Below are 11,501 nucleotides of genomic sequence, written 5' to 3'. Positions count from 1 at the left end.
GCCCACGAGGTGCAGCTTTGTTACAGATACAATATTTTAAATTACGCGCTGCGTTCGTTCGGCCAATCAGATAGGGAAGCCTGCAGCTACCAATCCGCGTAAGGAAAGGGGGCGGGCCTGACTGGAATTCCAGTCGTTCGCTTCTGCTTGACCTCTGAGTTCTAATGTGGGTCCGGGTTACCAACTGTCGTGGATTCGCACTTATTTTGCCTGGGATTCTTCCAACTTAACCTTTTTCCTTGAACCTTAGACATTTCTTACCTAAGAGCCTAAAGGAAATCTTGAGGCTTCAGCAGCCAACTCCTGTCCTTCCTTAGCAACAATCTTAACAGGAGTGCACAGGGTAACTGGTTTAGGGTGCTTGCTTTGTCTTAAGGGGAAAAACGACATTTCCCAGGAGGCACCGCGAACCAACGCCGGTACACTATTTCCCAGAATTCCAGGGTTTCGGCCCTTCCAGACCGTCTCTCCTCAGGGTTGGAGACTTCGGGGCCAAGATGGCGACGGGAACGGGCAGTGAGTATCTGAGCAGGTTTTGCGTGAAAGGCCTTTGTAGATCCGAGGCTAGGCACCATATTTTTGTTACACGCTTAGGGAGTGGGAGAAGTGGGTTGCTTGAGAGCCCAGGGTTTTCAGAGACCTGCGCTCTACAGCATCGTGAAGACCAACGTTTGGGGGCCCAGAAATCTGGGGTCTTGTTTCTCAGGGAGAGAGCGGAGGTGTGAGAGAAGCAGCTTAGTGAATCCTAGTGTGTTAGGAACTCTGCGGGTTAACCGTAAAAGCACTCTAGAAACTTGGGCGTGCAGACGAAAAGATGTTATGAGCCAGACGGAGTAACCGGCACCTCAAAGAGCCATTCATTTTTTTGTCTGACGTTTGTGAGGCAGTGGAAGTGGGGTCTTTTAACCATGAGCTTTTCTTGCCACTCAGGAAATTGCATCTCGGGGATTTCAGCCATTTTTCTTTTTTTGGACTGAAAAGCTCTTTTACCCCCGACATTTGGAGTAGAGGATCTGAGAGAAGTAAACAAGTTTATGCTAAGAGGGAGGCGGGGTAGTAGGAGGGGCTGGCCGCTCGGGTTCCTGGGAAATAAGCCCTGAATAAGTTCAAACTGGAATAAAGTCCAGTATTCTTAAAACTGGGCTTTTAGGGAGAACTGCCTAATCTGACATTCCCTGTTTCTTAATAAAGCGGAGCTTCAAGCCATGGCGTTTTAAGAAATAAAATGTTAATAATTCACATGCAACGAATAGGTACCCCGGTCACTGGTGATATTTCACTTGGAGAGGTGAAAATCAAGATTTGGTTATAGTAGCTCACTTTGTCCTAACAAGTTGGGATGTTTTGTATTAGGCTTTTAGTCCTCTTTTTGGGGATTTTGGAGCTTAGCACTACAGTCTCAGTGGTTGTTTCCAAGGCTTTTTTTTTTTTCTCCCTTTCCCAGAACACAAGCTGCTAAGCACTGGCCCCACAGAGCCATGGTCCATCCGAGAGAAGCTATGTTTAGCATCTTCTGTCATGAGAAGTGGCGATCAAAATTGGTAAGGTATCTAGGATGTCAGCTTTTCTGGGTCTTAGAAATTGTTAGATACTCTTTCACATCGGTAGATTTCTATAGTTAATCATATTAAGCTGTAAGTAGACTTTCTTTTCTTTTTCTTCTTTTTTTGAGACTGAGTCTCCTTCTGTTGCCCAGGCTGGAGTGCAGTGGTGCGGACACGCCCAGCTAATTTTTGTATTTTTTAGTAGAGACAGAGTTTCGCCATGTTGGCCAGGCTGGTCTCGAACTCCTGACCTCAGGTGATCCCCCCACCTCGGCCTGCCAGAGTGCTGGGATTACAGGTGTGAGCCACTGCGCCTGGCCATGCCTGGCTAATTTTGTATTTTTAGTAGAGACGGGGTTTCACCATGTTGGCCACGATGGTCTCAATCTCCTGACCTCATGATCTGTCCGCCTCGGCCTCCCAAAGTGCTGGGATTACAGGCGTGAGCCACTGCCAGGCCTATTTTTTTTTTTTTTTTTTTGAGACAAGATTGCACTCTGTGGCCCAGGCTGGAGGGCAGTGGTGTGATCTTGGCTCACTGCAACCTCCATATCTCAGGCTCAAATGATCCTCCACCTCAGCCTCTTGAGTAGCTGGGACTACAGGTGCACACCACCATGCCCAGCTAATTTTTTTTATTTTTTTGTAGAGATGGGGGTTTCATCATGTTTCCTAGGCTGGTCTCGAACTCCTGCGTTCGAGCGATCCGCCCAACCTACTGGGATTACAGGTGTGAGCCACCAGGCCAGCTGTATTTCTTTTTTTAAACAGCTTTATTGAGATATAATTCACATACTATAAAATTAACCTACTTAAAATGTACAATATAATGGTTTTTAGTATATTCACAGTTGTGCAACCATCACCACAATCTAATTTTAGAACATTTTATTCTAAGAAAAACCCCTTACTCCTTAACTGTCAGTCCATGTTGTCCCCTCCTCACCACCCCCAAGCAAGCACTCATCTACTTTCTATTAATTAATTAATTAATTTGAGACAGAGTCTCACTGTCACACAGGCTGGAGTGTAGTAGTTAGATCTTGGCTCACTGCAACCTCCGCCTCCCAGGTTCAAGCGATTATCGTGCCTTAGCCTCCCAAGTAGCTGGGATTACAGCCATGCGCCACGAGTGGCCTGGCTAATTTTTGTATTTTTAGTAGAGATGAGGTTTTGTCCAGGCTGGTCTTGAAGTAATGCACCAGTCCTGGCCTCCAAAAGTGCTGGGATTACAAGTGTGAGCCACCATACCCAGCCAACTCTCTTGTCTCTGTAGATTTGCCTATTCTGGATATTTCATACAAATGGAATGATACGTGCTCTTCTGGACTTTTTTTTGTTTTTTTTAATCACTTGACATAACACTTTTTAAGGTTCATTCTTATGTAGCATGTATCAATACTTAATTCCTTTTTTAGCTGAATAATAATCTGTTGTATGAATATACCAAGTTTTATTTATCCATCACTTGATAGACAATTGGGTTGTTTCCACTTTTTGGCCATTATGAATAATGCTGATGATGTGCACATTCGTGTACAAGGTTGTGGACAATGTTTTTAATTCTCTTGAGTTTTTTATTCAAGGAGTGAAATTGCTGGGTTATGTAGTAACTTTATTATGTTTGACTTTTTTTTTTTTTTTTTTTTTTTTTTGCAGACAGGGTCTCACTGTCACCCAGGCTGGAGTGCAGTAGTGCGATCGTGGTTCACTGCAACCTCTGCCTCCTGGGCTCAAGTGATCCTCCGGCCTCAGCCTCCTGAGTAGCCGGGACTACAGGCACATGCCATCACCCCTGGCTAATTTTTGTATTTTTTGGTAGGGATGGGGTTTTGCCATGTTGCCCAGGCTGAACTTTTTTTTTTTTTTTAATTTAAATATTTATGTTTTTGTAGAGACGAGGTCCCACTATGTTCCCCAGGCTGGTCTCCAACTCTTGGCCTCAAGTGATCCTCCCAGTTTAGCATCCTGAGTAGTTGGGAATACAGACCCTTGCCACCATGCTTGACTAATTTTTTGTGTTTTTTGTCACTTGTTGCCCAGGCTGGTCTTGAACTCCTGGGCTCAAGTGATCCTCCCACCTTAGCCTCCTAAAGTGCTAGGATTATAGGCGTGAGCCATCACTCCCAGCCTAGAACTATCATCATTTTACCTTTCTCGGTATCAGCCCCTCACCCCCTTTCTTTTGAATCATCCATTATGAATTTAACTCTCTTGCCACATTTATAAACAATTCAGTACTTTGCTGATTGTCATGCTTCCTAGCATTTTTTTTGTTTGTTTTTTAAATCTAATTTTTGAAGTAATATGTGGCCACCATAAAAACAAAAACACTATATAGAAAGCAATAGCAACAAAGAAATGGGTTAAAAACTTAAGTTTAAGGCCGGGCGCAGTGGCTCACGCCTGTAATCCCAGCACTTTGGGAGGCCGAGGTGGGCGGATCACAAGGTCAGGAGATTGAGACCATCCTGGCTAACACGGTGAAACCCCGTCTCTACTAAAAATACAAAAATCAGGTGTGGCGGCGTGCGCCTGTAGTCCCAGCTACTCAGGAGGCTGAGGCAGGAGAATGGTGTGAACCCAGGAGGCGGGGCTTGCAGTGATTTGAGATCGTGCCACTGCACTCCAGCCTGGGCAACAGAGCAAGACGCCATCTCAAAAAAAAAAAAAAAAAACTTGAGTTTATTTTTTGTCACACATACAGGAAGTCTAGGCAGTCCACAGCTCTCATAGCAACTTCACAGTGACATTAGAGGCTCAGGATATTCTCTTTCTGTTCCACCTTCCTCAGTGCATAGTTTATCTTCTGGTTATCTTATGGTTCACGGTGGCTGCTTGACCTTCAGCTATCACATCCTTGTTCCATGCAACAAGAAGGAAGGGGGTTGGTAAGAAAAGTCACATCTCTTCCCTTTTAACAACTTTTTTGTGATATAATTGATGTGCAGTAAACTGCACCTTTTTTTTTTTTTTGAGATGGAGTCTCTGTTGCGCAGGCTGGAGTGCAGTGGTGCAATCTTGGCTCACTGGAACCTCTGCTTCCCAGGTTCAAGTGATTCTCCCACCTCAGCCTCCCGTGTAGCTGGGACTACAGGCCTTTGCCACCATGCCTGGCTAATTTTTGTATTTTTTGGTAGAGATAGGGTTTTACCATGTTGGCCAGGCTGGTCTTGAACTCCTGACCTCAGATGATCCACCTGCCTCGGCCTCCCAAAGTGCCGGGATTACAGGCATGAGCTACGACACCCGGCCAGTGCACACATTTAGAGCATAAGACATGGTATTTTTGAAATATATATACATTTGTGAAACTATCCACAATTAAGGTAATTATTATAGTATCCATTAACAGATGAATGGGTAAAGAAAAAATATATATGTATACACACACACACACACACACACACAATGGAATACTGTTGAGCCATAAAAAAGAATTAAATCCTCCATTTGTGATTCCATGGTTGAGCCTGGAGGATAGTATGTAAAGTGAAATAAGCCAGACACATAAAGAAATACCATATGATCTCAGTTATATGTGGAATCTAGGAAAAATTATAGACCTCACAGAACTAGAGAATAGAATGGGGCTGGGTGCAATGGCTCACATCTATAATCCCAGAACTTTGGGAGGCCAAGGCAGGAGGTTGCTTGAGATCATGAATTGGAGACCAGTCTGGGCAATATGACAAAACTATAAAAAAACACAAAAATACTAGCCAGGTCTGGTGGTGTGTGCCTATAGTTCCAGCTACTCGGGAGGCTGAGGTGTGAGGATGGCTTGAGCCAGGGAGGCAACATAAGAGAAACTGTTCCCTACAAAAAAGAAAATTAGCCAGGCATGATGGTGCATCTGTGATTTCAGCTACTTGGGTGGGGCTGCAGTGGGAGGTTGCCTAAGCCTCAGAGGTGGAAGCAACAGCAAGCCATGATTGTGCCACTGCACTGAAGTCTGGGTGACAAAGTGAGATACTGTCTAAACAAAAACAATGTGTGTTTTGTATGTGTGTGTGTGTGTGTGTATACACATCACATATATTTGTATATGTATATAAATTGAGCTCATTTTTAAACAAAACAGGTAAACTGGTTTGAAATAGAATCTAATCTGTATATTTCCTCACATTTTTATTAGATAAATAGTGTTAAGAATCTTTTTTTTTTTTTGAGATGGAGTCTCACTGTGTCACCCAGGTTGGAATGCAGTGGCACGATCTCGGCTCACTGCAACCTCCACCTCCTGGATTTAAGTGATTGTCCTGGCTCAGCCTCCCGAGTAGCTGGGATTAAAGGTGCACGCCACCATGCCTGGCTAATTTTTGTATTTTTAGTAGAGGTGGGGTTTCACCACATTGGCCAGGCTGGTCTCAAACTCCTCATCTCAAGCAGTCTGCCCTCCTCGACCTCCCGAAGTGTTGGGATTACAGGCGTGAGTCACCACGCCCAGCCATAGAAAAATAGTATAAGAATACTTGAGTAAAAGTTTTAAATTTTATTATTTTATCAGCAGATACTAAGTCATAAGATTCAAAATTATATGCAGTGTCTTCCTCCCGTTACTATCCCCCGTCTACTAGTGTTAGCAGTTTCTTGTGTCTCTCCAGCAAAATTTTATGTGAGCAAATATTTTCTTTTTCCCCTTCATCCCCCTCATTTTCTAACACAAATGATTATATACTATATATGCTGTTCTTTTTTTTTTGAATGGCGGAGGGGGTGGTCTTACTCTGTCACCCAGGCTGGAGTGCAGTGGCGCGATTTGGGCTCACTGCAGCCTCTTGACTTCCTGGGCTCAAGGGATCCTCCTACCTCAGCTGCCCAAGTAGCTGGGACCACAGGCCGCAGGTACGCACCACCATACCTTGTCGATTTTTTTTTTTTTTTTTTTTTTTTTTTTTTGTAGGGATGGGATCTCCTCGGGTGGCTTGAACTCCTGGGCTTGAGCTGTCCTCCCACCTCTGCCTCCCAGAGTGCTGGGATTACAGGCACGGTCCATTGCACACCTCGCATTCATTGGCTTTTTTTTTTTTTTTTTTTTTTTTTGAGATGGAGTCTCACTCTGTCCCCAGGCTGGAGTGCGGTGGTGAGATCTCGGCCCACTGTGACCTCCGCCTCCTGTGTTCAAGAGATTCTCCTGCCTCAGCCTCCCGAGTAGCTGGGACTACAGGTGCATGCCACCATGCCCAACTAATTTTTGTATTTTTAGTAGAGACGGGGTTTCACCATGTTGGCCAGGTTGGTATTGATCTCCTGACCTTGTGATCCACCCGTCTTGGCCTCCCAAAGTGCTGGGATTACAGGCGTGAGCCACCGCGCCTGGCCATTCGCATCTTTTTTATTCCAAAGTTTGAACTCCAAGCCTTGCACTCTCAGCATACCTCTCCTATTGTTTTCTGCTTGGTGTGTAATAAAGCTTTCCTCATTTTGTAGGGTATCAGTTAGCAGAGCAATCAAGCCCTTTGCAGAACCTGGCCGCCCTCCAGACTGGTTCTCTCAAAAAGTAAGTTCCCAAGCAAGGGCTCTTTTAGAGCAGTCTTTGGGTTGTAAAGTAGGTTCTCTACCAGGCCCTGACTTTTAGTTACAAAGCTTTTATACCATGATGTGGGAAAATAGTTGAGAATACCTTTTTCTTTTTCCTACTGTTTGCTAATCCATCCATGTATGATCATATTAGACCTTTCTTATTGGTGTTGCATAACAGTTAAGAGCCCAAGCTTGGGAATTAGATCTGGGTTCATTATTACTCCATCTAAAAACTTTGGGCCATGATCCTCTGTTTTTTCATTTGTAAAATAGAGATAAAAGAGTTGCTTCAGGATTGTTGTGAAGCTAATTGAAGTAATACATGTAAAACATTTAACACAGTGCCTTGCATGTAGTAACTACTTGGTAGATATTAGCTATAAATATTGGCAGTTAGGTTGCCTTTCCGCAAATGCACAAACTCCAGTCCATAAGACTGTCTTTTTCTGTGTCTTGTTTTGATTATTTTGAACTGATTTGATTATAAAGTTACTTGCCCTCCTAGTAAACCACTCCCGTCTTACATATAGTTCTCTTCTCTAAATCTTACTCTAATCTCTTGAAACTTTGAAAGGTCATTTCTTTCCAGCCTTGCTCATCACATTTTCACTTTTTTTTTTTTTTTTAATAGCATTGTGCTTCCCAGTACTCGGAGCTTTTAGAGACCACTGAGACACCAAAGTGAGTACAAAGCCAGGTACTTCAGCCATATTTCTTTAGTGGAGAGTATTTACTGAGGAATTCTGGTTTATACTTAGTTATGATACTGGATGATTAAAAAATAGCAGAAGTTATCTATGATTAAGTGGTAAAAGCAAGTAGGAGAGGGGATAAATGTTATGTTATTTGAATATGAATTTTTTTTTTTCAATTTTCCACAGACGGAAACGAGGTGAAAAGGGAGAAGTGGTGGAAACTGTTGAAGATGTTATTGTTCGGAAATTGACTGCTGAGCGAGTTGAAGAACTAAAGAAAGTGATAAAGGAAACCCAGGAGAGATATAGGTACTTATCAGAGAGAATGCCAAAAAATTGAGAAAGACATAAGGGACTGTCTTCTGGTACTGGTCAGAACTTTTAAAATAGCAGATTAAAAAACCCAGTCTACCTACCTCTCTTTCTTCCTATAGACGGCTAAAGAGAGATGCAGAACTAATTCAAGCTGGACACATGGACAGCAGACTGGATGAGCTTTGCAATGACATTGCAACGTGGGTTATATTATATTGTTCTTCTGTGCTTCTTTCTTTTTACCCTCTTTTCCCCTCAAGTAATCTGGCTTATTTCCTCCAATTGCCGTCCCTTTAGACTTGAGACAGATTCTGGAAGGGGAAAGCTGCAAAGTGGTTTGGTGGCTGGGAGGGGGGAGTGAGTCCTAGAAGGTAATATAATGGGACATTTCAGTATGAAAACATAACTTAGTTCTAACTTAAGAGTGGCTATAGTTTGCCTGGGTGAAGAACTGGGAGTTAGGCAGTATACCCCAATTCACTGTTTTGCTGGTTAGAATTCCTGTTTAGGCCTTTCTTCCAGAAAGTGCTGGCCTGGCAAAAAAAATTACTTTGTAAGGGTTCTGTGAACTCTGGGGAGGAGCCAGAGCTGTCTAGCATCTAACCCTTAATTCCCTGTTTAGGAAAAAGAAATTGGAAGAAGAGGAGGCTGAAGTAAAGAGGAAGGCTACAGATGCTGCATACCAGGGTAAGCTGAACCTAGTATGCCTCTTTAGCAATTGATTGCACAGTACTGCATGCTAATGACAGTTGGACTGTTTTGTAACATAGAATACATTGATTTAAATTTACTTGCAGTTTTCTCTTCTACCAGAATAAAAACATCCCTTAATGTCTTAAGAAGAAACTCCTAGAACATGCGTTGTGCTCAGATCTCACTAGACCTTAAATTAACTTCAGGACACAAAGGCTTGATGAGATATTGAACATAATGTTTTAGAAGTCAAGGGCCTGTGAAAAGATTGAGAATAGCTCAGTCATTAGATGAGGAGAAATTTAAGCATTTACAACTCTAGGAATACATGCTGTGCGCCAGTGAGGTCTTTCCCTGTTTTTGTTTTTTGTTTTTCCCCCAGGCGGAGTTTTGCTCTTGCTGCACAGGCTGGAGTGCAGTGGCGCGATCTTGGGTCACTGCAACCTCCGCCTCGCGGGTTCAAGTGATTCTCCTGCCTCAGCCTCCCGAGTAGCTGGCATTACAGGCGGCTGCCACCACACCTAGCTAATTTTTGTATTTTTAGTAGAGATGGGGTTTCGCAGGCTGGTCTCAAACTCCTGACCTCAGGTGATCCACCTGCCTTGGCCTCCCAAAGTGCTGGGATTACAGCCGTGAGCCACTGCACCTGGCCTTCCTGTTCTTAAAAGCAGAATATTAGTAAGTTGCTAAAGAGAATATTAAAGGATGTTTAAACTACTTTCCCACTCCAAGGACCTTTGGGATAATTAAGTAGTTTGAGATTGTTAAAGGAGTTTCTTAGTGTGAGAATTGCCCTTAGGAAAAATTAGGCTAAAAAGTTATCCATCTCTAGAAGTGTTAAAGCTTTCTAATCCAAACTTATTATGCTGCTTTAGTAATGCAACATACCTATTTGTCCTTTATTGTATAATAGCAGACTAGTGTCAAGTTTCATTTATTTAATCTTGAAGATTTGGACATTGTTCTCTTTTATGTTCTAGCTCGTCAAGCAGTAAAAACACCCCCCCGGAGGTTACCCACTGTGATGGTTCGCTCTCCTATAGATTCTGCCTCCCCAGGAGGTGATTATCCACTTGGGGACTTGACTCCAACCACTATGGAAGAGGCTACCTCTGGGGTGAGTATATTTCCATCTGTGGGAATTGATCAGTGAAGGGGCAATAAGCCGGCAGAGCTGAGCGATGAGGAAACCACTTTTGGCCTAGAGGCAACTTCCTCTCTTGATCTGAATGCTAAAGACTTAATTTACCATGTTCTGTGCTCTGAGATAAGAACGGACCTAAAAGCATTGAGGCTTTTGACCTTTTTGAGAGATAGGTAAAAAACTATTTTAAGAAATTGTTTCATACTAGTCTTATGAAATTCCTGCTGAAATAAGGGACAAAATCCTTGTAAATGTAATATTGGTAGTGGGTAAGGAGTTCATAAAAGGCAGGTTGGGTGGGATGGTTGAGTCACTGTGGGTTTGAGTGGATGAAAGAGAAGATTGTGGGGAAGAAAAGTATGGCTAAGAGCAGGAGGGATAGAGGGTTTCTGGGCAATTCCACTCAGGACTAATAAAATAATAGTTAGACACACTAACCCATACAGATTAGTAGGGAACCTTCCATAGTTTGAGAAGTCAGATAAAGGTTCTCTGTTGTCTCTTAGGTAACCCCCGGGACTTTGCCGAGTACCCCAGTCACCTCGTTTCCTGGGATTCCTGACACCCTTCCTCCAGGCTCTGCACCCTTAGAAGCCCCCATGACCCCAGTAACAGATGATTCACCCCAGAAAAAGATGCTTGGACAGAAAGCAACTCCACCCCCCTCCCCTCTGCTGTCAGAGCTCTTGAAGAAGGGCAGCCTCCTGCCTACTAGCCCCAGACTGGTATGGAGACTTCTGTGGGTGTTTGAGAGCTGTGGTGATTTAGTACTTGGAAGGGAGTGCCTGGGACCTAAAATGTGACATGGGGAATAAAAGTTCAAAAGAGGAAAAGATCTCCTAATTAAATGTTAATTTTTTAAAAATACAGTAAGTTGATAGTACCCATGGGTCCTGAGGTATCTGAATCACAATTATTTTGGTTCTCTTCTCCAGAGAACTCTTGTCAAATAAGTTTTGAACATTATAGTTTAGAGTTTCCCTTGGGTCTTAAATTATTCTCTGTGGATATTAGCTATTAGTTTTCATGAAGTTTGATCAACTGCTGGAGCTTTGTTGGGAAATGGTAGTGAAGGAAAGCTTGAGTGTAGCCTTCACCTCTATTCTTCCCTGGTAGGTCAATGAGAGTGAAATGGCTGTGGCTTCTGGCCACCTGAACAGTACAGGTGTCCTCCTGGAGGTAGGCGGGGTCCTTCCCATGATACATGGTGGGGAGATACAGCAAACACCCAATACTGTTGCAGCCTCCCCTGCTGCATCAGGTAAGTTACCACTTTTCCTTTATCAACCTCAAAGGTGTTGAACTTGACATTGACTGACCTCAGTTTCACTGTTACTAAGCAGTTGTCAGTGCTAGATTTAAAGCCCAACTTTTTCTAACTTTTTTTTGGAGCTACTTTACCTGGTAAACAATGTAGTCTCCATATTATAAAGCCATCTATCTTCAAGATAGTGATAGCCCTGATTGACCACAGCATGGATATTGAGAGTAATATTGAACTGCTTTCTTAGGGCTTGCAAAATCAAGGTGCTAGAGATACCTAAGATTATAGAATAGTGGAATAAGATTTGGAACCAGAGAATT

General features: G+C 43.2%; 1 protein-coding gene across 6 annotated transcripts in view, besides 4 other annotated features; it reads left to right on the top strand.

The window, feature by feature from the left end:
* Positions 171 to 340: an enhancer, noted in NCBI's record as "active region_23194". NCBI's record gives its function as "activates an Ori minimal core promoter by ATAC-STARR-seq in GM12878 lymphoblastoid cells {active_cell/tissue: GM12878}" and the evidence as "EXISTENCE:reporter gene assay evidence [ECO:0000049][PMID:35858748]".
* Positions 171 to 532: a biological region, named in NCBI's record as "Sharpr-MPRA regulatory region 11877".
* Positions 238 to 532: an enhancer, noted in NCBI's record as "tiled region #11877; HepG2 Activating DNase unmatched - State 1:Tss, and K562 Activating DNase matched - State 1:Tss". NCBI's record gives its function as "activates a minimal TATA promoter and a strong SV40 promoter by Sharpr-MPRA in HepG2 cells, with weak activation in K562 cells {active_cell/tissue: HepG2 | K562}" and the evidence as "EXISTENCE:reporter gene assay evidence [ECO:0000049][PMID:27701403]".
* Positions 481 to 530: an enhancer, noted in NCBI's record as "active region_23193". NCBI's record gives its function as "activates an Ori minimal core promoter by ATAC-STARR-seq in GM12878 lymphoblastoid cells {active_cell/tissue: GM12878}" and the evidence as "EXISTENCE:reporter gene assay evidence [ECO:0000049][PMID:35858748]".
* The window catches only part of BRD8 (bromodomain containing 8), a 38,861-nt gene continuing 27,841 nt past the window's right edge, over positions 482 to 11,501 (top strand). For 2 of the 6 annotated variants that reach the window (NM_001164326.2, NM_006696.5), the window contains exons 1-10: positions 482 to 516; positions 1,445 to 1,541; positions 6,978 to 7,047; positions 7,702 to 7,751; positions 7,952 to 8,074; positions 8,200 to 8,280; positions 8,703 to 8,767; positions 9,754 to 9,890; positions 10,424 to 10,642; positions 11,034 to 11,178. In NM_001164326.2, coding sequence (NP_001157798.1) covers positions 498 to 516; positions 1,445 to 1,541; positions 6,978 to 7,047; positions 7,702 to 7,751; positions 7,952 to 8,074; positions 8,200 to 8,280; positions 8,703 to 8,767; positions 9,754 to 9,890; positions 10,424 to 10,642; positions 11,034 to 11,178 — 1,006 coding nt within the window. In that variant the 5' untranslated portion in view covers positions 482 to 497. Of the gene's footprint in view, positions 517 to 1,444; positions 1,547 to 6,977; positions 7,048 to 7,701; positions 7,752 to 7,951; positions 8,075 to 8,199; positions 8,281 to 8,702; positions 8,768 to 9,753; positions 9,891 to 10,423; positions 10,643 to 11,033; positions 11,179 to 11,501 lie in introns of all 6 variants that reach the window. The other 4 variants (NM_001300966.3, NM_139199.2, NM_001300961.3 and 1 more) reach the window with 4 other exon arrangements.

This window comes from Homo sapiens, chromosome 5, assembly GCF_000001405.40.
Source record: "Homo sapiens chromosome 5, GRCh38.p14 Primary Assembly".
NCBI lineage: Eukaryota > Metazoa > Chordata > Mammalia > Primates > Hominidae > Homo > Homo sapiens.
Note: the sequence above shows the minus strand (reverse complement) of the source record. Positions and strands in the feature narration are given on the sequence as shown.